The sequence below is a fragment of the Homo sapiens genome, chromosome 12, assembly GCF_000001405.40.
Source record: "Homo sapiens chromosome 12, GRCh38.p14 Primary Assembly".
Lineage (NCBI taxonomy): Eukaryota > Metazoa > Chordata > Mammalia > Primates > Hominidae > Homo > Homo sapiens.
In genome coordinates this window covers 15,534,896-15,556,951 of record NC_000012.12, presented here as the reverse complement: position 1 = coordinate 15,556,951, position 22,056 = coordinate 15,534,896, and the positions used below count along the sequence as shown (strand labels likewise).

Below are 22,056 nucleotides of genomic sequence, written 5' to 3'. Positions count from 1 at the left end.
TAATCTTTTGCAAGTTTGCAAATCAAATTATTTGAGGCCAAAAGAATTCACTTCACAATCCTTTCCAAAGGGCATTCATGATTCTAAAAGAAATATTTGAACTATTTGGGGTATAATATTTATTTATTTTTTTACAAAGCCTTTAATAGTAACATAGAAACTCTCCTAGATGAACTGAGCATTTTCCATCTTTAGCAAAAATTCTTTGTAGGGTTTTGTTTATGGCATTTTGATTTCCTCCCTACAATGATAGTGGATCAAGTGGATTGTTTACTTCCTCCAAAATCTTTCTCTTATATTGTGATGCCCGTATTATTCATCACTGGAGATTAGAATAAAAGAGTGGAATGTATTGAAATAGGCAAGCTTCTGGTGTGCCTACTGTCCGGAATGTGGCCTATTAATCTGCTAGTAAAAACACTGTTGAAGTTTTTTTTTTTTTTCCAGAAGTAGAGAAAAAGTAAACATATTCTCATGCCTTCTCTATCTTTTGGCTAATTTCATGCATGAATAACAGCTCATTGGGGCTCATGTATCTCATTTTTTCTTTATACGGAATTAATGGATTTAATACTCAGAACTGAAGCAGAGATTTTAACATTACTGGCACAATGTGCTAATTACTTGAATTATCTACCTGTTCTTATTAAGGTGTTCCAAGAACAATTTTCTTCTTTTGAAAAATACACTAATATAATATCATAGTGTATTATAATTTACACATCATTAATGAATTTTCCTATGTCAATTTCCTATATATGGGATTTATTTTACCTGTAACTCAAGGGTTTTAATCTGGAGTTCCAAAGATAGAATTTAGGACTCTATGAACATATGTGGGAAAAGGGTACATATTTATTTTCACAACCTGTGACTAAACTTAGCAGTCCTTTCTATCATTAAAGTAGGTACCAAACCATCAGAATATCCACATGGATGATTTGCTAACAATAGAGATTACATATTTTTTAATAATAGACTTGCTGCAGATATCTTGAAATATTGGTCATATGCATCACCATGATGAAATTGTTAGACTATTACATATTGACATTGAATATACTAATTAAAAAGTGTACAACACATTTGCTTTTTAAATATTATGATTATCATATTTCAATATAGTTGTATAATCCTATGTATTTTATTTTAGGCACAGAAAATGGAAGCATTATTCTTAGAAGAGTTCACCAGACTGCCAAAAAGGATCATAGCATGAAAAATGATGAGAATCTATGCTTTAATAACTAGCTGAAAGAATCAGAACCACCTCTCCTAAATATCTTTGGTATGTACCACAAAAAATGCTCAGAAATACCACTACTTGCATTACATCTATTACCACCTCCTCCACCATTACTATTATGAGCTAACATTTACTGCACACTTCCTATGAGTTGAGTATTACGCTATGTTATTACTGCGTTAATGCTCCTAAGTATCCACTAATATAGGGGCAATTATCATCTCTTCTGCATACACATTGTTCCCCTAGCTTCCAGGCCACCACACTCCCTTAGTTGTCCTTATACTTCACTGGCTGCCTCTTTGTCAGTCGCTTACTGTTATCTTCTTTTCTCCCTGAAAACCTTAATATTGATTGTTCCAGTGATTAATGCAGGGCCTTCTTTTACATTTACTCCCTGAATTTCATCCAGTCTAAAGCTCTAACGCAATTTATATGTTAACAACTCTCAATTTTTTTTTTCCTGAGACGGAGTTTCACTCAGTCGTCGCCCAGGCTGGAGTGCAGTGGCACGATCTCAGCTCACTGCAACCTCCGCCCCCCAAGTCCAAGCGATTCTTCTGCCTCAGTCTCCTGAGTAGCTGGGATTACAGGCACCCGCCACCACGCCTGGCTAATTTTTTTGTATTTTTAGTAGAGACGGGGTTTCACCATGTTGGCCAGGCTGGTCTCAAACTCCTGACCTCAAGTGAGCTGCCTGCCTCCCAAAGTGCCGGGATTACAAGCATGAGCCACTGTGCAGAACCAACAACTCTCAAATTTATATCTTCAACCAAAAATTCTCTTTCAAACATTAGACTTTTATGTCCAGGTGGCTACTCTGCACCTGCACTTGCAAGTTATCTCAAACTTAACATTTCTGTGATGGTTAATACTGAGGGTCAACTTGATTGGATTGAAGGACACAAAGTATTGATCCTGGGTGTGTCTGTGAAGGTGTTGCCAAAGGAGATTAACATATGAGTCAGTGGGCTGGGAAAGGCAGACCCACCCTTAATTGGGTGGGCACAATCTAACCAGCTGCCAGTGAATATAAAGCAGGCAGAAAAATGTGAAAAGGAGAGACTGGCCTCGCCTCCCAGCCTACATCTTTCTCCTGTGCTGGACGCTTCCTGCCCTTCAACATTGGACTCCAAGTTCTTCAGTTTTGAGATTCAGACTGGCTCTCCTTTCTCCTCAAGCTTGCAGACAGCCTACTGTGGGGCCTTGTGATCGTGGAAGTTAATACTTAATAAACTCCCATATACCTATATCTATGTATAATATATAATAGGAGATATATATATATATACACACACACACTATATCTATATATAATATCTAATAGGATATATATATACTACTATGTACTATTAGTTTTGACCCTCTAGAGAACTCTGACTAATACAATTTCCAAAACTGAAGTCTTGATGTTCCCCCAACTCTGACCTGGAATCCTCTCTCAGTTGATGGCAGCTCCATCCTTTCAAGTGCTTGGGCCAAAAACCCAGGAGTTAGCCTCAACTCTCTTTTTTTGTTTATTTGTTTTTTGAGATGGAGTTTCACTCTTGTTGCCCAGGCTGGAGTGCAATGGCGCAATCTCGGCTCATCGCAACCTCTGCCTCCTGTCTCAGCCTCCTGAGTAGCTGGGATTACAGGCATGTGCCACCACGCCCAGCTAATTTTGTATTTTCAGTAGAGACAGGGTTTCTTCATGTTTGTCAGGCTGGTCTCGAACTCCCGACTTCAGGTGATCCACCTGGCTCAGCCTCCCAAAGTGCTGGGATTATAGCCTCAACTCCTTTTTTCATTTCCATTCCATATCAACTTATTAGCAAATCCTGTTGCTCCTATTTTCAAAATATGTCCAGAATCTGATGGCTTCTCTCTGCCTTCAGTGTTGCTGCTCTGGACTGAACTATTAGCATCTCTTGCCTGGATTCCTGGCTACCACAGTTGATATGCCTGTCTCTGTCCTTGCCTCAATACAGCCTGTTTTCTACATAAAAGTCAAAATGAAAGTGTTAAATCTAAGTCAGATGCTGTTAATCTTCTGCTCCAGAGCCTGCAATGCCTGCTCATTTTACTGAGTAAAAGCCAAAGTCCTTCCAAAGGCATACGAAGCCCTGCATAACTTGACATCTCCTTCTACTCTTGTCTTCCTCCGCTTTAGTCACAACGGCCCCTCTGCTACACTTTGAACATCCCAGTCGTGCTCCTACCCCAGGGCCTTTACACCAGCTGTTCTTGCCACTGGGCACACTCTTCCCACAGATAACACAGGCTACCTCCCTCATGTGCTTCAAGTCTCTGCTCCAATGCCATTATTTCAGTGAAGCCTACCCACCTCCTAGGACCCCTAACACCACACTGGTACTGCTTATCTCCCTTACCTGACCTTGTTTCCTTTCCTTATCACCTGCTAACTTAAGGGGCAGTCCTTTTACTTATATCTTTATTGTTTATTGTCTATTTCTCCCACTAGAATATGAGCTCCATGAAGGCACATATTTTTGTCTGTTTCATATACTGTCATATATGTAGCAATATTTGTAATATGAACGCATGAAGTTTCAGTGACCTACACAAATTCACGCAAGTTGGAAGTCAAGATTCGATCTCAAGGAGGCCGAGCATGGTGACTCACGCCTATAGTCCCAGCACTTTGGGAGGCTGAGGTGGGCAGATTACTTAAGGTCAGGAGTTCGAGACAAGCCTGGCCAACATGGTGAAACCCTGTGTCTACTAAAAATACAAAAATTAACTAGGCCTAGTGGTGCGTGCCTGTAATCCCAGCTATTCAGGAGACTGAGGCAGAAGAATCGCTTGAACCTGAGAAGCAGAGCTTGCAGTGAACCAAGATGGCACCATTGCACTCCAGCCTGGGCGACAGAGTGAGACTCTGTCTCAAAAAAAAAAAAAAAAAAAAAAGATTTGACCTCAAGGAGTGTAATTTCAGAGCTCTCCACTGTAGTTACAGTGCAATCCCACATCTCTTCTTATCCTTTTAAGATTATTCAAATGCCAACCTTCAAGAAGCTTATTTTCACATTCAGAATTAGTCTTTATTCTCTAGTTTCATGGCATCCTGTTTTTAATCCCCTTTATGCTACATGTCAGCTTATGCCTTTAAATATATCTATCTATTCATATATCCAGTTAGGTAAGTAAGCTCCTAGTGGACAGCTTTGATGTCTGATTTTTCTTTGGATATGCCATGTCAGGCACTGATTAGATCACTATTGGATAGATGAATTTATTTATAAATATGTGAGTGATAGAACTCTGAGACAGGAGAAGAATGTTAATTTATAATTCAGCAGGTTAATATTGGGCAAATATAAATGTTAACAAAATTTCCCAAACCAAGTAGTATTCAAATAAGCAACAGTTTTTAAGGGAATTGATAGATTATTCTGATAATACAGGGGGCCACAGAAACTACTTGAGAATGTGCTCTGATGAGCAATGCATCAGTGGTCAAAGGAACAGGGAAGAGCTGAAATCATAAATCAAAGGCTTTTCTAATTGCAAGAAAAACTAAGCTGGCTGCAACTCTGAGTAATAGGAATAAAACTAATAGAGACTGCTAATGGACCTAATCATAAACTGTACAAATATTTTCCAATAGAACAGCTTAAAATTATGGAGAGGATTTCCCGCCCCCCACCCCGTTCTTTCTTGTCATCTCCATTTTTATTAACTTTTTTCATTAACTATACTGAACTGTCATAGATATTTCTTTTATTCCAAATGTGTATGAAAGTACCCAAATGTAATGGATCTCCATATATGGGCTACTTCAAATGCCAAGATTGATAGCAAGAGGTCTGACTTTGTGTAAACAAGCAATCCTTTGCTTTCTCATTTCAATGGTAATATTTTCCAATATAATGTTTCGAAGTCTATTTAGAAAACACACACAATAGAAACAGACACTGAAAACTAAAATCCAATATACCGCTATACAACTTAGGTGTGCAAAAACAATATATATATGGCAGATAAAGATATTTTAAAGATTCCGGATAAAATATTAGTAAAACTTAACTTACCTAGCCATCTGCAGATGCTTTTTCCTAAGAATAATGAGGGTAACAAGCAACAGTCCAATTAAAAGTGTGCTAAGGATGGCCAGCACGGAGATCACTACCACATTGGGATTCATCTCTGTAACTAAAGAGATAAGTTGTGCATTTTCATCATAGGTTCTCTTACAGGGAACCAAACAGAACCATTCATTGCTTTTCATCTAGTCTTAAGGGCAGTGAGCTTACGATGATACCAATAATAGTAACAATCATGTTCCCCAAGCCAGCAATGACCTCTTCCTGGTCAACTGTAACTTAGCAAACTAGACTGATAAGTGGTATTGAGGTGTCTGGAAGAATTGAGTCCCTTTCAAAGGCCTACAACATTCAGGATATTCTTACATAGGGAAACTAAAGAATGAAGAATACCTGTGCCACAGTTTAAATTCATTTGAAAGCTAAAAATGTGGAAGTCATTACCATGCATTATCGTTTTTTAACATTTTCACAAGCTTAGAGGGTGGCAACCTCTTATTTTACGCCCATGATTTTGAAGTCAGAAAGCACAACTGTATACTTTGCTTACAACTAATAATGTATATCAAAAAGACATTAGCAAACTACCATCTGCTGAAGCACTTAACACATTACTAGAAGCAGACATTCTGATGATCCGTGGCCATATGTTTAGGGGTTTTCCATCTGCACAGCTCAAGAGATAAAACCTATTAATAGGTTGTAGGGCCCTGAAGAACAGGGGTCACGTCCTTTTCATGTACTCTATATAAAGACTTGTCTCCTGTGGCACTTACACATTGTCTACTTCTTCATACTACACGGAAGAACAGGATATCAAAGGCAGGAACATAGGTTTAATATTCTTATAAAACTCTTTAAAATGGGCCTGAGGACTCATACCATCTTTTGCATTGATCATAAAGTCACAGAATGAGCAGGTGCATCTGATCCCTAAGGTTCTGGGTATTTACCACTTCCCATTTGGGCCAGCTTGGCTCCAGTTTATGAGTAGAGTGCTTAAACAGAAAGAACAATGGACGCATGATCAGAAGAGCTTTTTCGCTTGAGTACTGCTATTTGGAGAGAAGCCATTTCATCTGCCCTATGGGCCTCATTTTCCTCATTTATAAATAAGTTTAATAATATCACCTGTTATGCTACATTGTCATGGAGCTGACAAGGAATGATGGACATTAAGGTACAGTTGACCCTTGAACAAAATGAGTTTGAACTGTGCAGGTTCACATATATATGGATTATCTTTACTCTCTGCCACCCTTGAGACAGCAAGACCAAACCCTCCTCTTCCTCCTCCTCCTCAGCCTACTCAATGTGAAGACCATGAGGAAGATCTTTATGAAGATCTGCTTCCACTTAATGAATAGTACATATATTTTCTCTTCCTTACGATTTTCTCAATAACATTTTCTTTTCTCTAGCTTACTTTATTGTAAGAATACAATATATAATAAGTATAACATACAAAAATGTGTTGATCAACTGTCTATATCATTGGTAAGACTTCAGGTCAACAGTAGCCTATGAGTAGTTAAGTTTTGAGGGAGTCAAAAATTATACATGGATTTTCAACTATGCAGAGGTTGGCACTTCTAAGTCTCTCATTATTCATCGTCAACTGTATATTTTAGAAAGTGTACAAGGATGTAGGAATGAGAGACCATTAAAATACTTTGCAGGTATATTTTTTGTCCTCTCTTCTGAAAAAACAAAAATTAAAAACAGAAAACCAAAAAGAAAAAGAAAAAAGAAAACAGTCCGCTCCAGTCATCCCTGAATTTAGCAGCTAAATATATGACTAATATTACAGAAATGGAACTAAACCAGTGAAGTTATGAGTGACTTTATTACAAGAGGCTTCATAGAGGGTCTCAGGTTGCAGAATCAGACTCTAACAAACCAGGAGTAACACATGTAATACAACTAAGAAAAGAATAAGGAAATAAACAGCATCATTCCAGACCTTTCATTAACCTCTAATTTTCCCACTTATACTTTTGGCTGGATTGGAAACTTTCTTGCTTTGACCCAGTTATCAATTATGTCATTCTCTGATCGGTGACAGATGAAGACCAAGGCTAAATAGATGAAATTGGATTGATAAGAGTACTGTGCCTATTACTGAAGAAGATGAGATGAGTTAGCAACTAGCATTTAGACAGCATATACTAAGGATTTAAGTATTTTATTTCTAAGCTTCAAAACAACTCAGAAAGTTACATATTATTATTCCAATTTTACAGATGAAAGAAAAGCTCAGAGGCACCAAATGTCTTTCTCTAACTCCATAGCTAGTAAGTGCACTTTGGGATTGAAATTAAGGACTCTCTGACTCCGAAGCTTGGGATTTCTTGGTGGAATATTGATACAAATACATATATATATATATATTCAAAAAAAGTGAGAAAATTATACACTAATGTGTATAATTACCCATTGTTGAGACGGCTATGAACGTAGGGACACTGGGGCTGTCATGGCTAAAGCTGGTGACACTACAATTGTAGGCAGTGGCAGGAAGAAGGCTGGAGATGGTCACGACATGGGAAGAAACAGCAACTGGTTCCTGGGGTTTCAGAAAATAAGGTAAATTTTAGGTTAACTTCATCTATATTTTTTAAAAATATATTTCATAGTTGAGTTGGTAATAGATTGACAGAGTAAAAAATGTATAAGATGACAAAGAATAGCATTGAAAAATGTTTCCTTTTTTCCCCATTCCCCATCTGACCAATTCCCTTCCATGGAAGCAGCATTATTCCATGTTGTCAGGCATTATTTTTCTTCCCATATGCATTTTATGGATGTATGAACATATATGACACAGTTAAAAAACATAAGTGATGGCTTAGCCTACACATTATTCTGCTAATTTTTTTACCTTAGCTATCAATATATTTTGGTGCTTTTTCCATATCAGTACAGATTAAGCTGTTTTATTCTTTTTAAGAGCTGGACAGAAATCCGTTGAAAGGACATACCATAATTTATTTAATGAGCCCCGGTTGATGAATGTGTAAATGGTCTCTGATTTTTTGCTATTGCAAACAATGCTACAATGAACTTCATTTCACAAATTTGGGAAGACACACACATATGCATATAGACACACACACACACACACACACACATATATATACACACATATATACACACAATATATGCATGTAATATGTATATATGTGTGAACGTACACACATACACATATACTCATATATTCTTTGCTAGTGTCACATTCTTTGAACTGCTGAGTCAAAAAGTGTACATTTAAAATTTTGAAAGCTATAGAAAAATAGTTCTCTACAGACATTTTGCAAGTTACTCACCTTTGGCATCAATGCGTGACAATGCCTGCCTCCCTACATTCTTTCCAGTACCATACATTTGCAAACTCTGAGCTTTCCCATTATTACTAGTGAAAATTGTATATTGTAGTTTTATTTTGCATTTTTTTTTTACCGTAAGTGAGGTTGCTGAAGTTTTCATCTGTTCAAGAGATTTCTGTATTTTTCTATGAAATATTTGTTTTGGGTTGTTGACCTTTACCTTTTTTGACTTGTAGCAATTCTTTATATATTAAGGACACTACACCTTTGTCTGCATTCTTAGCTTTTATATAACATCCACTAAAACATGGCAACTATCCGCACTAAGAAACATTTAGTATTAACTTATTCTTGAGTCAAAGAAGTTGCTAACTTGGTGGACCCATGGCCAGACTAGTGACAAGTACTACTGTACAACAGCAAAAGATGAGCCAGCATTTTTTTCAAAACAAGATTTTGAAACACCCTTGCATAAAGAAATGAGAGCCATCAGCATTTTCTTCCACTTCCTTCTCTTTCACTATTCTATAAAAGAATTATTCTAAGGAAAGACTTTTGCTAACAGGACTCAGTTGTAGTAAGTAGCTAACTAACCATTGTTTTCTTAAAGGAAGGCATCACTGTAGTTATAGAGAAGAAAATCCATTATTGGCAGAGCAGTTATTTTCCAAAAGGATTCTTAGAATAGAGAAAATTCAGCTGTTCAGTACAAATCAACAAGAGATACATTCATAGAAGGGAATCTCAAAAGGAGAAAGGAATCAAAGCAAATTATCTTAGCATTCAATATGAAAAGATTTGCACTCCCAGCATTCCTTTTTTCTTCTCAATCTCATGAACTTCATTATTTAAAAAAGATCAATTACTTATGTTCGCAGTATTAGTCTACACACTATATTATGTAAAATCCCTAACAAATCTGTCCTTTTCCTTTCACTTCTGGCTGTGAAATATTTTTTCCTTGTGGCGTTGCCACTCATAGAACTGCAGGTTCATCTCTTTCCTTTCATTCATTCTGACCTGGTGAATAACTCTGTTTATCGTATCTGCCATTTGTAATTCTAGAGCTTTAGCAATAACCTTCTCTCAGTCTTCATTTTGCAATAAGACTGTCCCCCTTACAAACTAGATATGCACGTTTCTTTTAAATTCTCTTGGTCGAATGGACCTGTCTTGTGGTACTTATATTTTACTTTACTTTTTTCTATACTTATGCAATGTCTACACCATATAAAAATGTTTTGAAGGCAAATATTGATTCTATCATGTGTGTTCTATTCAGTGCCTTTATATACTTGGCAAATGGTTCATATTTGTTAAATTATATTTTATATTGTAGGGTCTTTCTTCCCTTGATCAATTCAATGGCCTACTACCTTTATTCCTTTGTCTGACCTGGAGTGACTTATGAATTAGGAACAAGTGATACAGACAAAGATAAAAGTTCTCATAACAACTTTTGGGCTTGGTCTAAGCCTGCTGTTAATTTCTATCAGTGAAACACAAAAGAGCAAATAAACAGTTTTCATTTTATATAGCTCAAAGAAATAGAAGATTCTTATTTTGCCCAGATAATTAGCCTTACTTAAGTTAACTGAGAAAAGGTAGATCAAAAGGTACAGTACCTGAAGTTTGGTTTTCTGACTGGAGCCAACTTGTTGACAGAAAACTTCAAAGAAATCAGCTACTCCCTCTTCCACCCACAGCAAAGTCACTGAAGTCTGGGTTTTGTTCACTGCGAAGAGTGATTTGGGTGGAGCTGGTTCTGAGCAAAGACAAAGTTTTAAAAAAAATTTAATTTACTAAGTGTATTCTTTCTTCTTTCACTAATAAGCAGGTGAAGCATCCCCCAATTCAAATATAGGTAGGTAAGAGCACCATAAAGACTTTATATTGCCTTTGAAATATGTCCTTTCATAAAGATAGCTATCTAACTTGGAAGGCAGAATACTTTGCCTTTTCCCCCTTCCATTTTTTTACTTCTCTTTTCAGAACACTTCTGTTTTCTACTTCAGTTTCATCATAGTCATAATCTATTAATAGTTTCTGTGTCATTTATACTGAAGTTAGCATTGCCCTGATAATACAGAACTTCCTGGATGAGAAACAAAAATCTGCACTTAATAAAGGTGGAGAAAAATGAAATTTGGTGTGCTTCCTTCTAATGATGAGATGCAGTTTGGTATTTAGCCAACAACCTGTCTTCCTTTCTCTGGAAACTATCTGGAACAATTCAGACAGAAAAATGGCTGCTTGAAAATTTAGTCAAAATTTAAAAAGATAAAGCTAAACAGATAGTATCATTTTTTTTTTTTTTTGAGGCGGGGGTCTCACTCTGTCACCCAGGCTGGAGTGCAGTAGTGCGAACACAGCTCACTGAAGCCTCATCTTCCCTGGCTCAAGTGATCCTCCTGCCTCGACTCCCAAGTAACTGGGACTACCTGGCTTATTTTTGCATTTTTTGCAGAGATGGAGTTTTGCCATGTTGCTCAAGTTGGTCTCAAACTCCTGGGCTCCAGCAATCCACCCACTTTGGCCTCCCAAAGTATTGGGATTACAGGTGTGAGCCACCGTGCCTGGCTGATAATATAATTTTTTAAGAAAAGAATTGATAGGAGGGGATTGGAAGATTAATAAAACATTAGATAAATTTTTTATCTTAGACATTTTATCTTAATAATAAATAAATCCATTCGTAAAGGAAGCTGTGTTGTCTGTCCTTTTCATACTTATTTCTAGTAATTGAGTCACTGGCATTGCTCTCTTGAGACCAAAAAACCCTGCCTGTTCCTCAATTCTAATAGTCATCTGCTGTCTCATTCTCCATTCCTGAATGTCTCCTGGTCTTCTGCTTGTGACCCTGTCTTTTGGATGTTGTCTTTCCCTCTAGGTCCCCCAGTATGCAGAGTGCTGTGCCTGAACTCAAGGTTTTAAGCTGGGGTCCCTGTTACCTGCTCTCAGACCCCCTGACATTGCTTATTTGGACATATTGTACCTTGCTGCTAGGTTCACATAACAGCATCCTCCATCCACCTATATGCGCCTGTCAGACGACTACCCACTGTTGTAGGTTTCTTCCTGCTTGTTACTTGGATTTTTCATTTTCTGCCCCACTCTCCTAAGTCTGTTCTCCAGCTCCTGTCCTTTAGAGGTGCTTGAAAAAGTCCTGTCAGCCATTTCACTGCTTTGACAGGTACACATCTTTGTGTGGAAAGATTTGAACCTTGTTTCTAGAATATCATCATTGTGACTCTGCCCAGGACCAAGAAGTATGTCAAAATCATTCTTGCCATGATTTATCACAGATCTCCTAAACTTGTGTCCAACTAAAAAGAAGCATGTTTCTTTCCTGCAGCAACTTGACAAGGTTAGGCAGAAGAGTTGAAGGAGGAAAGAGATGAGTTCTTCTTAGGCAAGCAAAATTCACAATAGGTGTCAGGAGCCCTTTTTCACTTGCAATGAATTGTCCAGTCCTCCAGGCATTGTATTGTCCCACTTCTGCTCTGAGGAAGACTGCTAATGAAACACAGAGGTCAATTTCCACTTCTCACTTCCTTTATAACTGCCTTTGCTAATAGGATTATGTCCTTTAGGGATTCTGACTCATGTGGAACTTGAATCTATAGAACCAAGTGTGAAGTTGTTTGGGGGCATAGATGAATGATTAGTTAGGCTGAGCCTAGGCTTTTCTTTTTTAAAAATGCACACTACAGAATTGTTCCTCAGTCACAATTCTGAGGCTCTTCCCTTATTTCTCAGTCCCAGAGAGCATATCTTTTAAAAACTCGTTACCTTTTCCTTTAATCTTTTTTTTTTTTTTTTTTTTTGAGATGGAGTCTCGCTCTGTCACCAGGCTGGAGTGCAGTGGTGGTGCAATCTCGGCTCACTGCAACCTCTGCCTCCCGGGTTCAAAAAATTCTCCTGCCTCAGCCTCCTGAGTAGCTGAGACTACAGGCGCATGCCACCATGCCCAGCTAATTTTTTTGTATTTTTAGTAGAGACAGGGTTTCACCATGTTGGCCAGGATGGTCTCGATCTCCTGACCTTGTGATCTGCCTGCCTCTGCCTCCCAAAGTGCTGGGAGCTGGGATTATAGGCATGAGCCACCACCCCCGGCCTCCTTTAATCTATTTTTAAATTATATTGCATGTCTAGACTTTTGTGATCACATTCATTGATCATCACAAACTTGCTGTGCCTCTTTTTCCCTGGCTCTAATCAATTCTTTCTTCATTTTGTCAACAACGGATTAAAATCACCTTAAAATGCCATTTCACTCATGTTAAATCCTATCTGTGCATTGTCTGTGGTATCACATCCAAACATACCATGTCTTTAAGATCCTGCTTAAACTGGCTGCATGCTATCCAACCAGCTTCACCACCATTCCTGACACACAGATGTGTTGCCTCCTGGGAAAGACAGTCTTCTCACTGAACTTCAGGGCAGTGCTCTATGTCAGCCCATGTTTGCCTTCAATCAGTATGCTCTTTATTCTGCTCATTCGAAGGTCAAGAAAAAGTCTTACCTCCTCCTTGAAGTCTCATTTGGTGACTCTTTCTCTTAATGATTTATCCCTTCTCTGACATTCTACTGCCTTTAATTATTTCCTATATAATCTATGTGAGTGAAGGCCTGATTCTAGTAGATCCTATTAGATTCTTTAAGAACAAGGGTCATGTGTTATAAATGACTTTGTCTTCATTTGAAGTAGCCACCTATAGGTACTCAAAAAATCTTATTTATCGGCTGATTTAAAACATGAGTCAAGATTCATCAACCAAAAGAGGAGGATTCAAGCACCAGGCAAGACCAGACACGCTGAGGTTGTATCTTAATGTTCTCTTCTGTTTTTATGTAGGTAAAATTATCCAATTTCAGGGGCAAAGTCAAGAACTATCATGAATTACTGCAAGAGCTCCCAGTGGTCCAAGGAATACGACATGAATACTGCAGTGAGGGTTTCCTTTGTTCTGGCTGAGAATGTGGCTCTAGGTGATAAGATCCTCAGGAAAATCTCCTAAAGGTCTGGGACATCTAACAACCACGTAACAAATTTTTCTTTTTGGGTGGAATATGAGGGCAATAGATTATTTCAAGGTCCCTGCACCTGTGATCACTGTGTACTTTTCTGGAAGACGTTTACATGTCAGCTCTATAGGTCAATGAATACATACATAAATCACCTGCTTGAGGACTGTTCAGGATCTTCGTGATTGGTGTGCTTCCCTAAATTAATCAGGCAGAAATTTAACTCTGGTATCCCAAAGGAAACAAAGAAAGTTATTACAATTTATTGTTATTATAATTATGAACTTATTACTATTACAAGATTTCACAAGTGAAAGTATAATTGAATTGGGAGTGCTTATAATTAGATTTTCCTACTCAAGACAACAACTGTCCCAGGAAATGTTTTAAAATGTAAGAATCGGAATGTGAATTGTCCAACACAGCCACTAGCCACATGTAGCTGTTGCGTACTTGAAATGTGGCTAGTCCAAATTGAGAGGTGTTGCAAATGTAAAATACAGACAGAATGTCAAAGACCTAGTGTGAGAAAAGAATAAAATATCTTATTAATAATTATTTATATTGATTATATGTTGGAACAATATGACCTTGGATATATTTGGTTACATAAAGTATATCGAATTCAATTTTACCTGTTTCTTTTTACTAATTTTTAATGTGGCTACTAGAAAATTGAAAGTTATACATGTGGCCCTTATTATGTTTCAAATGAATAGTACTGAGTTAGAGCATTTCTTCTTATTGCCTAGAGTAGAAGTCTGGAAATTTCTGGCAAAAACTGGCTAGGGGGTTCCCACTTCTCATGAGAAGTCAAGGCCAGCTCAGTGCCACAGCCTAAGATGGTTTAGATCAAACTTGTCCAACCCATGGCCCGTAGGCCGCATGCTGCCCAGAATGGCTTTGAATGCAGCCCAACACAAATTCATAAACTTTCTTAAAACATTGTGAGATACTTTTAGTGAAATTTTTTTGATTCATCAGTGTTAGCATATTTTATGTGTGGCCCAAGATAATTCTTCTTCCAGTGTGGCACATGGAAGCCAAAAGCCAAAAGACTGGACACCCCTGGTTTACATGACTCATGTTTTCCATTCTCAGAAGCACAAGATTAAAGTAGATAGTGGCTAAATATTAATTAGGCAATTGCATATGATAGGGAATACAATGACATCAAAGGCATTTTGATTGCTTTCTATCTTTGTTATGGGATGAATTATATCCCCTCCGCCTAAATTCATATGCTGAAACCCTAACCCTTAGTACCTCAGAATGTGACTATTTTTTTTTTTGAGGTGGAGTCTTGCTCTGTCACCCAGGCTGGAGTGCAGTGGCATGATCTTGGCTCACTGCAAACTCCACCTCCCAGATTCAAGCGATCCTCCCACTCAGCCTCCTGAGTATCTGGGACTACAGGTGCCTGCCACCACACCCGGCTAATTTTTGTATTTTTAGTAGAGACGGGGTTTCACCATGTTGGCCAGGCTGGTATCGAACTCCTCACCTCAAGTGATCCACCCACCTCAGCCACCCAAAGTTTTGGGATTACAGGCGTAAGCCACCACACCCAGGATGAATAGGGCCTTTAAAGAGGTGATTAAATTAAATGAAGCTGTTAGCACGTGCTCTAATCTAATCAGACTGGTGTCCTTATAGGAAGAGGAAATATAAACAGTAAAGAGATGTACAAGCACAAAGAAAAGACCGTGTGAGGACACAGTTACAAAGTGATCATCTGCAAGCCTCAGGAGAAGCCTACTCTGCTCACACTTGGACCTTGAACTTCCAGACTCCAGATCTGTGAGAAAACAAATTTCTGTTGTTTAAGCCACCCAGTCTGTGGTATTTTGCTATGACAGCCCTAGCAAACTAATACAGTCTCTTACTATTCAAAATACCAAATATGTCCCTTTCTGCACATGAGGGATGAAAAAACCCTATAAAATATCAAATACAGTCAGTCTTCTAAAGCAGAAGGATAGGAAAAAACCAATAATGTTGAGAAGAGTAAATGAAATTTAAGACAATGCATACACAAACACTTTATATAATGTAAAGTCATGTAGATATTAGTTATGGAACATCTCCTGGCTATTGCTTTTTATCTCTCTAAATGACATTTTCAATCATAACATTTTCCATATTCTCATGCTCCAAAAGGTCAAATTTCCTTTTGTTTAAAATAACTTCACAGTCCATGATATTTGGTGTGAGTACCTATGTATATGGGTAAGGGGGATAGACATACCATTTTCATAAAATGAGGTATAGATATAGGGTTGTTTGCTTTTAAATACCCTCTAAAAGCTTTCTAATATTGCTGGCGTTCCACTCAACTAGCTGGCCTTCCCTATTTTCTTTTCTTCTCTCTCATTCCATGCCTCTCCGGGTTTGGACTGAGAATCCAATCTAATTTTATAAGAAAATCAAGTACAATGCATAGAATATGGGCAGACTGGAAGGCTGCAAGGCCATCTCTACCATTTAATTTAGATTGGATTATGAGAGGCTCAAGCTGTTGCCTAGGATCTCTGGGGAGTGAAAGTGACCTTCCTGAAGTGTGAGCTAGTGTCTGATTCTTATTCTGTGCTCTGGCAGCAAATCTCTTCCTTTTCTCAGGAATTCCAAAGGGAATAGTCAGATGTAATATTTAGCCTAGGAGCAGAATGTAATGTGTTTATTGTCTAAAACCCATCTTTCTCTGATAGCTATTACATTGTTTCTTCTTTTAATGTGACTCATTAATTTAGCTGCCTAGAGAATGATGTTTATGAGGCCAAGATTATATCCATAAGGACCAGCGTGGTGAGTCATTTTACAAATGTGCAACATTGGTAATAAGGAAAATTAAGTAGAAAAGTATTGTTAAAATTATCTTAATCCATGATCCACATAACAACATTTATTTTCAATCTTTAGCCTCACTGATAACAGTTTTTTAGAATGCTCTTCATATGCAAAGCATAAATGTTAACATCTATATTGTCATAAGTCTTTTAAATTTATTTTTATTTTCCTCAACTCAAGCAACTCTATGTTAAGCAGCGTAAGTCATATAGTATATTCGACTTGGCCAAAGGAAGCATCTGCAATGTAAGCAGTGTGGACTGCAGAAACTATGCTCAAGTTGGTGAAATAACATCTGCAAAAGAAAGCACTGTCTGAAAGGAAAATAAACAAGAGGTATAGAAATTATTCAGGGTGAGTTAAGATTGATATGCAATGAAATTAAGGAGAGAAATATTTACATTAAACAGCAGAAGTCTTTGTTAGACCTGAAGTTTATTAGACCTTGTCTTGTTGACTTAGGGAAATTCTTTTCCTAGATACATTTAACAAGTAATTTGAACATTTAAAAAAAAAACCAGGAAATAAAAAAAAAAATTCAGGCAAATATTTAGCACCTGAAAACACATTAAATTATGAGGCCTTTTTCCTATATATAAAAATAAAATTTTCTCAGGAGTTAGAAATGTCTGTCATTTGCATTACTTTTTAACTATATTCTTTTTTTTTTTTTTTTTTTTTTTTTTTTTTTTTTGAGACAGAGTCTCAGTCTGTCACCCAGACTGGAGTGCAGCGGCGCAATCTCAGCTCACAGCGACCTCCGCCTCCCGGGTTCAAAAAATTCTCCTGCCTCAGCCTCCTGAGCAGCTGGAATTACAGGTACCTACGACTACACCCAGCTAATTTTTGTAGTTTTAGTAGAAACAGGGTTTCACCATGTTGCGCAGGCTGGTCTCGAACTCCCGGCCTCAAGTGATCTGCCCGCCTCGGCCTCCCAAAGTGCTGGGATTACAGGCAGTGAGCCACTGTGCCCAGCCTTACCTATATTCTTTAAGGCTTAGAGATAGCAAGTATAATATCTTCTTCTGTGAATCACTAGATGGGTTGATAGTTTTAGTACCTTAAGTAACTTCTAAAGATCAATAGAGTTTTTCAGAGAAAGCTCCCATTTAACATTACTTTCTTTTTTTTAAATTTTTAAAAATTTGCATATGTTTATGGGATACTAGTGTAATTTCGTTACATGCATAGATTGCATAGTGGTGAAATCAGGTCTTTCAGGGTATTCATTACCCACATAACATACATTGTACCTACTAAATAATTTCTCATCATCCACCCACTTCCCACCCCCTCACCCTTCTGATTCTCTTCACTTAGTTTCAAAACAAATATCTGAATACCTCCTTTTCAGTGGTTCCAGGAGCATGTGCTTTTACTTAGCATTTTTATTTTGTTAGGAGTCATATATTGCAAAATTCTTAGAATAAGATCAGCACTTTCATTGCATCATTAATCTTGCTGCTTTTATTCTGAACTCAGGTATGGAATGAAATTCTAAAAGTTGAAGGAGCATAAAAGATCATCTAGCCCAGACTCATTTTATAGATAGGAAGCTGGAATTCAGAGGGTCTGAGTTACTTTGCTATGGTAACACAATTTGTTTGTGAGGGCAAGAACTGGGATCCACACCTCTGGACTCCTAATCAAGGGTCCTTATTACACCTGTTTTCCTCCCAATCAGCGAGTTACCCAGTCAGTTGCATATAAGTGGGGATGACCAGGCCTCCAGAAAAATTCCTTTGCTTAGAAGACCAACTTTTCCAGAGTGGGCACTTGCTTGTGTATTTAGGTCAATGCCAGACTTCACAGTCATTGCCCTATGTGTCCCTCCTTCAGATTCTTCCAATACATTGGAGAGAATCATGTACCTGCAGAATATGCAGTACCTTATGATGGGCAGGAGAAATGCCTTTAGAGAAGTGCTAAAGTGGGCCGGGCGCGGTGGCTCACGCCTGTAATCCCAGCACTATGGGAGGCACTTGCGGGCAGATCAAGAGGTCAGGAGTTCGGGACCAGCCTGACCAAAATGGTGAAACCCCATCTCTACTAAAAATACAAAAATTAGCCAGGCGTGGTGGTGCGCACCTGTAATCCCAGCTACTTGGGAGGCTGAGGCAGGAGAATCGCTTGAACCTGGGAGGCAGAGGTTGCAGTGAGCAGAGACTGCACTCCAGCCTGGATGACAGAGTAAGACTCTGTCTCAAAAAAAAAAAGAAGCACTAAAGTGGTTTGGTATGCCTCTGGGCAGTTGACAAACCATGGTGACACTCAGAAGACTGCAGTGAGGAGGGGTATATTGAGGCGAGGGATTGGTTAGTGTCAGGCCCAGGTACAGAGCCATGGGACTGTGGCATGGCTGTCACTGAGAACCTAAATCAGAAAACAATGCTTGCATGGGGCTGCTGGCCATGGAGGTATATATCAGAAGAGTAGCATGGCAGGTATTGCCCCCTGCAAACCTAAAGAACATGCATGTGTTTATCTTACAAGAAGTCAATCAGAAGAAACCATCCACAAGCGGCTATCATGATCTTCACTCTGCTCACTATCCCATTAATGCCCATACTGTCTGTTTGTCTGTCATTGTCTTCCTGAAGATATATCCAGACCCAATCCTTCCACTGGATCCCCGGGTTCCATCTCCTCTGCTCCAGTCAAGGACATCACACCAAGTCTCACCTCTAACTATGCTGCATCAACAGTTTTCTCTGTTTTGTTGGATCATTTTGCTTAGTCTACAGACAAGCTGTTTTCACTCACTTAAAGAAAACAAAATAAAAACAAAAAACTACCAAAAATTCTTGGATTCTTCTATTCTTTAGCTCCTGTGCATTTTAGATTTTTTTTTCCCGTCACCATGGCACCCAAATGCCTCTTCTCAAAATCACCAGTGACTTCTGGGCTGCTAAGATCAGTGGTCAATTCTCATTCCTCATCTTACCAGATTTGTTCACAGGTTTGACCTGGACAATCTCCACTCGCTGAGGCTTTCTCTTCCCTTGGCTCCTGGGACAGGACACTTTTCTGTGCTCTTTCTTGCTTCCCTGGCCAATGCTCCTCAGTCTCTTTTGCTGGTTTTTACTCACCATCTCCATGTCTTAAAGTTGGAGTGGCCCAGGGCTTAGTTCCTGGATAGCATTATTTTTTCTTTATTGAGTCTTTGTTAACTCATCACATCTGTCGCCTGCCTACACTCAAATTTATATTTTTAGTCCTGAAGTCTTCACTGAATCCAAGCTCCTTTATCTAACTGCCTGCTCAGTATTTATTTAATGGTTTCATAGGAACCTTCAAAATGTTGACCCACCCAGACCTGAACTTCTGACATTGCCCCAAACCAGCCTGTCCCATAATCTTTTCCAAGTTAATAAATCAAACCTCTGTCTTTCCAATTGCTCAGGCCGCAAATCTTGCTGTGTCTCTAGGCTGCTTTTACTCATTCATAGACAACATCTAAGTCCATCAGCAGATTTTCTCAGCAACACCTTCAAAATAAATTTTGAATCTGACCACTTTTCATCGCCTCTGTGGCTCCCAGTCTGACCTAAACAAGTATAATCTCTTATCTGGACAGACTCAGTGTTCTCTAAACTTTAAGGTGACCATGTAATTTATCAAAAATGTCCACACGGGAACACTTTTGGGGCAGAAAAGCCTTGCCCCAAATCCTAAAGAGGATTACTGCCTTTTAAATAATCCATAAGAGTTGCAAAGTGGTATTGTCTAAGGCAACAGGGATGTATGGTCATATTACCTAATTGGCTCCTTCCTGCTCTTATCCTTGCCCTGAACAATCTATTATCACCAGAGTGACCCAGTGAAACCCGTTAGGTTATGCGCCTCTGCTTAAAGCATGCAATGGAGAATCATCTCACTCACAGGAAAGTGTCTTTTCAATGACCCTACACGGTCTGTTCCCTTGCTACCTCTCTGCCCTGTATCTATGGCTCTCTACCTTGTTTGTTCCATTGCAGCCACACTGCCTGCCTGACTTTTCCTTGAACTTGCCAGGAACACTATGCTTCCATAGCTGGGCACCTGTGGTTCCTTCTGCCTACAGAATCTCATCCCAGTGATCTCTTTGGTTTACTCCCTCATCTCCTTTAGGCTCTGACTCAAACATCACCTTCACAGTGACACTTACTCTACTCCTCACAAAAATTGCACCCATCCCCCACAGCACTTCCTATCCTCTTTTCCTCTTTCACTTTTCTCCATGACACTTATCACCATTTAACATTCTTATATTTATGTTTATCATCTCCTTTTCTCCATTAGAATGAGGGTTGACATTTTTGTCAGTTTTGTTCATTTCTGTATGCTCAGAACCAAGAATAGTGTGTGGCATATAGTAAATGCTAAGTAAATATTCTCTGATTCACAGGATGAATAATTTTTTAAAAAAGTATAAGACCTTAAGCATTTTATTAGCTTCTTTCTAGCTGACTGGCAGCCTACAGATTTCTATGTATCTATAACCATATTTGAGAGAGACAGAGAGAAAAAGCCTACTATCCCCCAAATACTTAACATTTCAAAGTATTTTGATTTTTTTCTTGTCCATAGCCAAATTATGTTTTAAAGATTTCTAATCTCTATAAAGGTTTGTATGAGTAAGATTAAGAAAATCAAGCCAATGTCCCTAAGACCAAATTCCAAAGAGGAACGGAAAGTCACAAAAGTGGGTATGAGGCTCCTCCCTGTTCTGTTAAATTTTTTAATAGAAAAAATGAAGTTTGAAGGAAAAAGGCCACACCCCAGTCCAGGAATAGAAGCAGCAGATGGATAAAAAGTACGAAATGACTGTTTCTGGACCAAGACCTAGCAATGTATAAAGCGTGTCACATTTCTCTAAGCGCCAGCTTGTTCAAATGAGGACATAGCACTGAATTATCTCCAAAAGCTCTCCTAGCACTAAAGTTATATGATTCCTTATCTCGAACGTGCCCGAACATGTCTGTGGTCAGGATAAAGCATAAGTTTGATGATGGTGGTGTGCAATTCTGTTTTTGTTTTGTTTTGTTTTGTTTTCTCTGACCTCCTTAGCTGTTCCTTTCCACTCTCTCTTTCTGATGCTTCCTGCTAAGCTGAATTTCTAACTGCTGGGGTGGCTCCTCTAGAGTTGATCCAGGGCTTCTCTTTTCTTCCCTGTCTTTACTTACTACTTGGTGATTTCATCCAGACACTTCCAAATTTATATTTCCAGCCCAGAATTCTCCCCTGGCCTTCACATCTGCACCGGGATATCCAATAATCATTTTAAATTTGTTTACATCCAAAGAAGAATCCTTGATTCTTACTTCACCCTAAATGTCCTCCTCCTGTAGTTTTACTAGTCATCTCAATCTCAGTGAATTGCGCCACCATTTGTCCTAGTTGCTCAAGGGTGAAGCCTGGGAGTCATTAATTTCCCTTTCCCTCACTTCGTGTTTCTGCCGTATCAGAAAGTTCTGTGGACACAACCTCCAAAAGAGCTCCTGAATTCTGTCCACTTCTCTTCATCTCCATTACAACCACCGTAGTCAAAGTTACCATCACTCTCTTGCAACTTCTTTGA

The 22,056-nt window shown here is 38.6% G+C and overlaps 1 protein-coding gene and 1 long non-coding RNA gene across 10 annotated transcripts in view, besides 1 other annotated feature; one reads left to right on the top strand and one right to left on the bottom strand.

The window, feature by feature from the left end:
• Positions 1-22,056, bottom strand: part of PTPRO (protein tyrosine phosphatase receptor type O) — a 275,824-nt gene that overhangs the window by 41,380 nt on the left and 212,388 nt on the right. For 5 of the 9 annotated variants that reach the window (XR_931316.4, XR_007063106.1, NM_030667.3 and 2 more), the window contains exons 13-15: positions 10,244-10,383; positions 7,726-7,858; positions 5,281-5,401 (exon numbers count right to left, since the gene is read on the bottom strand). Coding sequence is in view for 7 of the 9 variants with exons in the window: in NM_030667.3 (NP_109592.1) it covers positions 5,281-5,401; positions 7,726-7,858; positions 10,244-10,383 (394 nt within the window). In the remaining 2 variants the exon portion in view is untranslated. Of the gene's footprint in view, positions 1-5,280; positions 5,402-7,725; positions 7,859-10,243; positions 10,384-22,056 lie in introns of those variants that run through there. The other 4 variants (NM_030671.3, NM_030669.3, NM_030670.3 and 1 more) reach the window with 1 other exon arrangement.
• Positions 1,041-17,064, top strand: LOC105369672 (uncharacterized). The gene is made up of 3 exons (XR_002957403.2): positions 1,041-1,288; positions 13,480-13,644; positions 15,306-17,064. It is a non-coding gene; the product is annotated as an uncharacterized LOC105369672 (long non-coding RNA).
• Positions 20,790-21,989: an enhancer, noted in NCBI's record as "MED14-independent group 3 enhancer chr12:15687897-15689096 (GRCh37/hg19 assembly coordinates)". NCBI's record gives its function as "activates an origin of replication core promoter dependent on BRD2, BRD4, P300/CBP and CDK7 cofactors, and independent of MED14, by STARR-seq in HCT116 cells {active_cell/tissue: HCT116}" and the evidence as "EXISTENCE:reporter gene assay evidence [ECO:0000049][PMID:35650434]".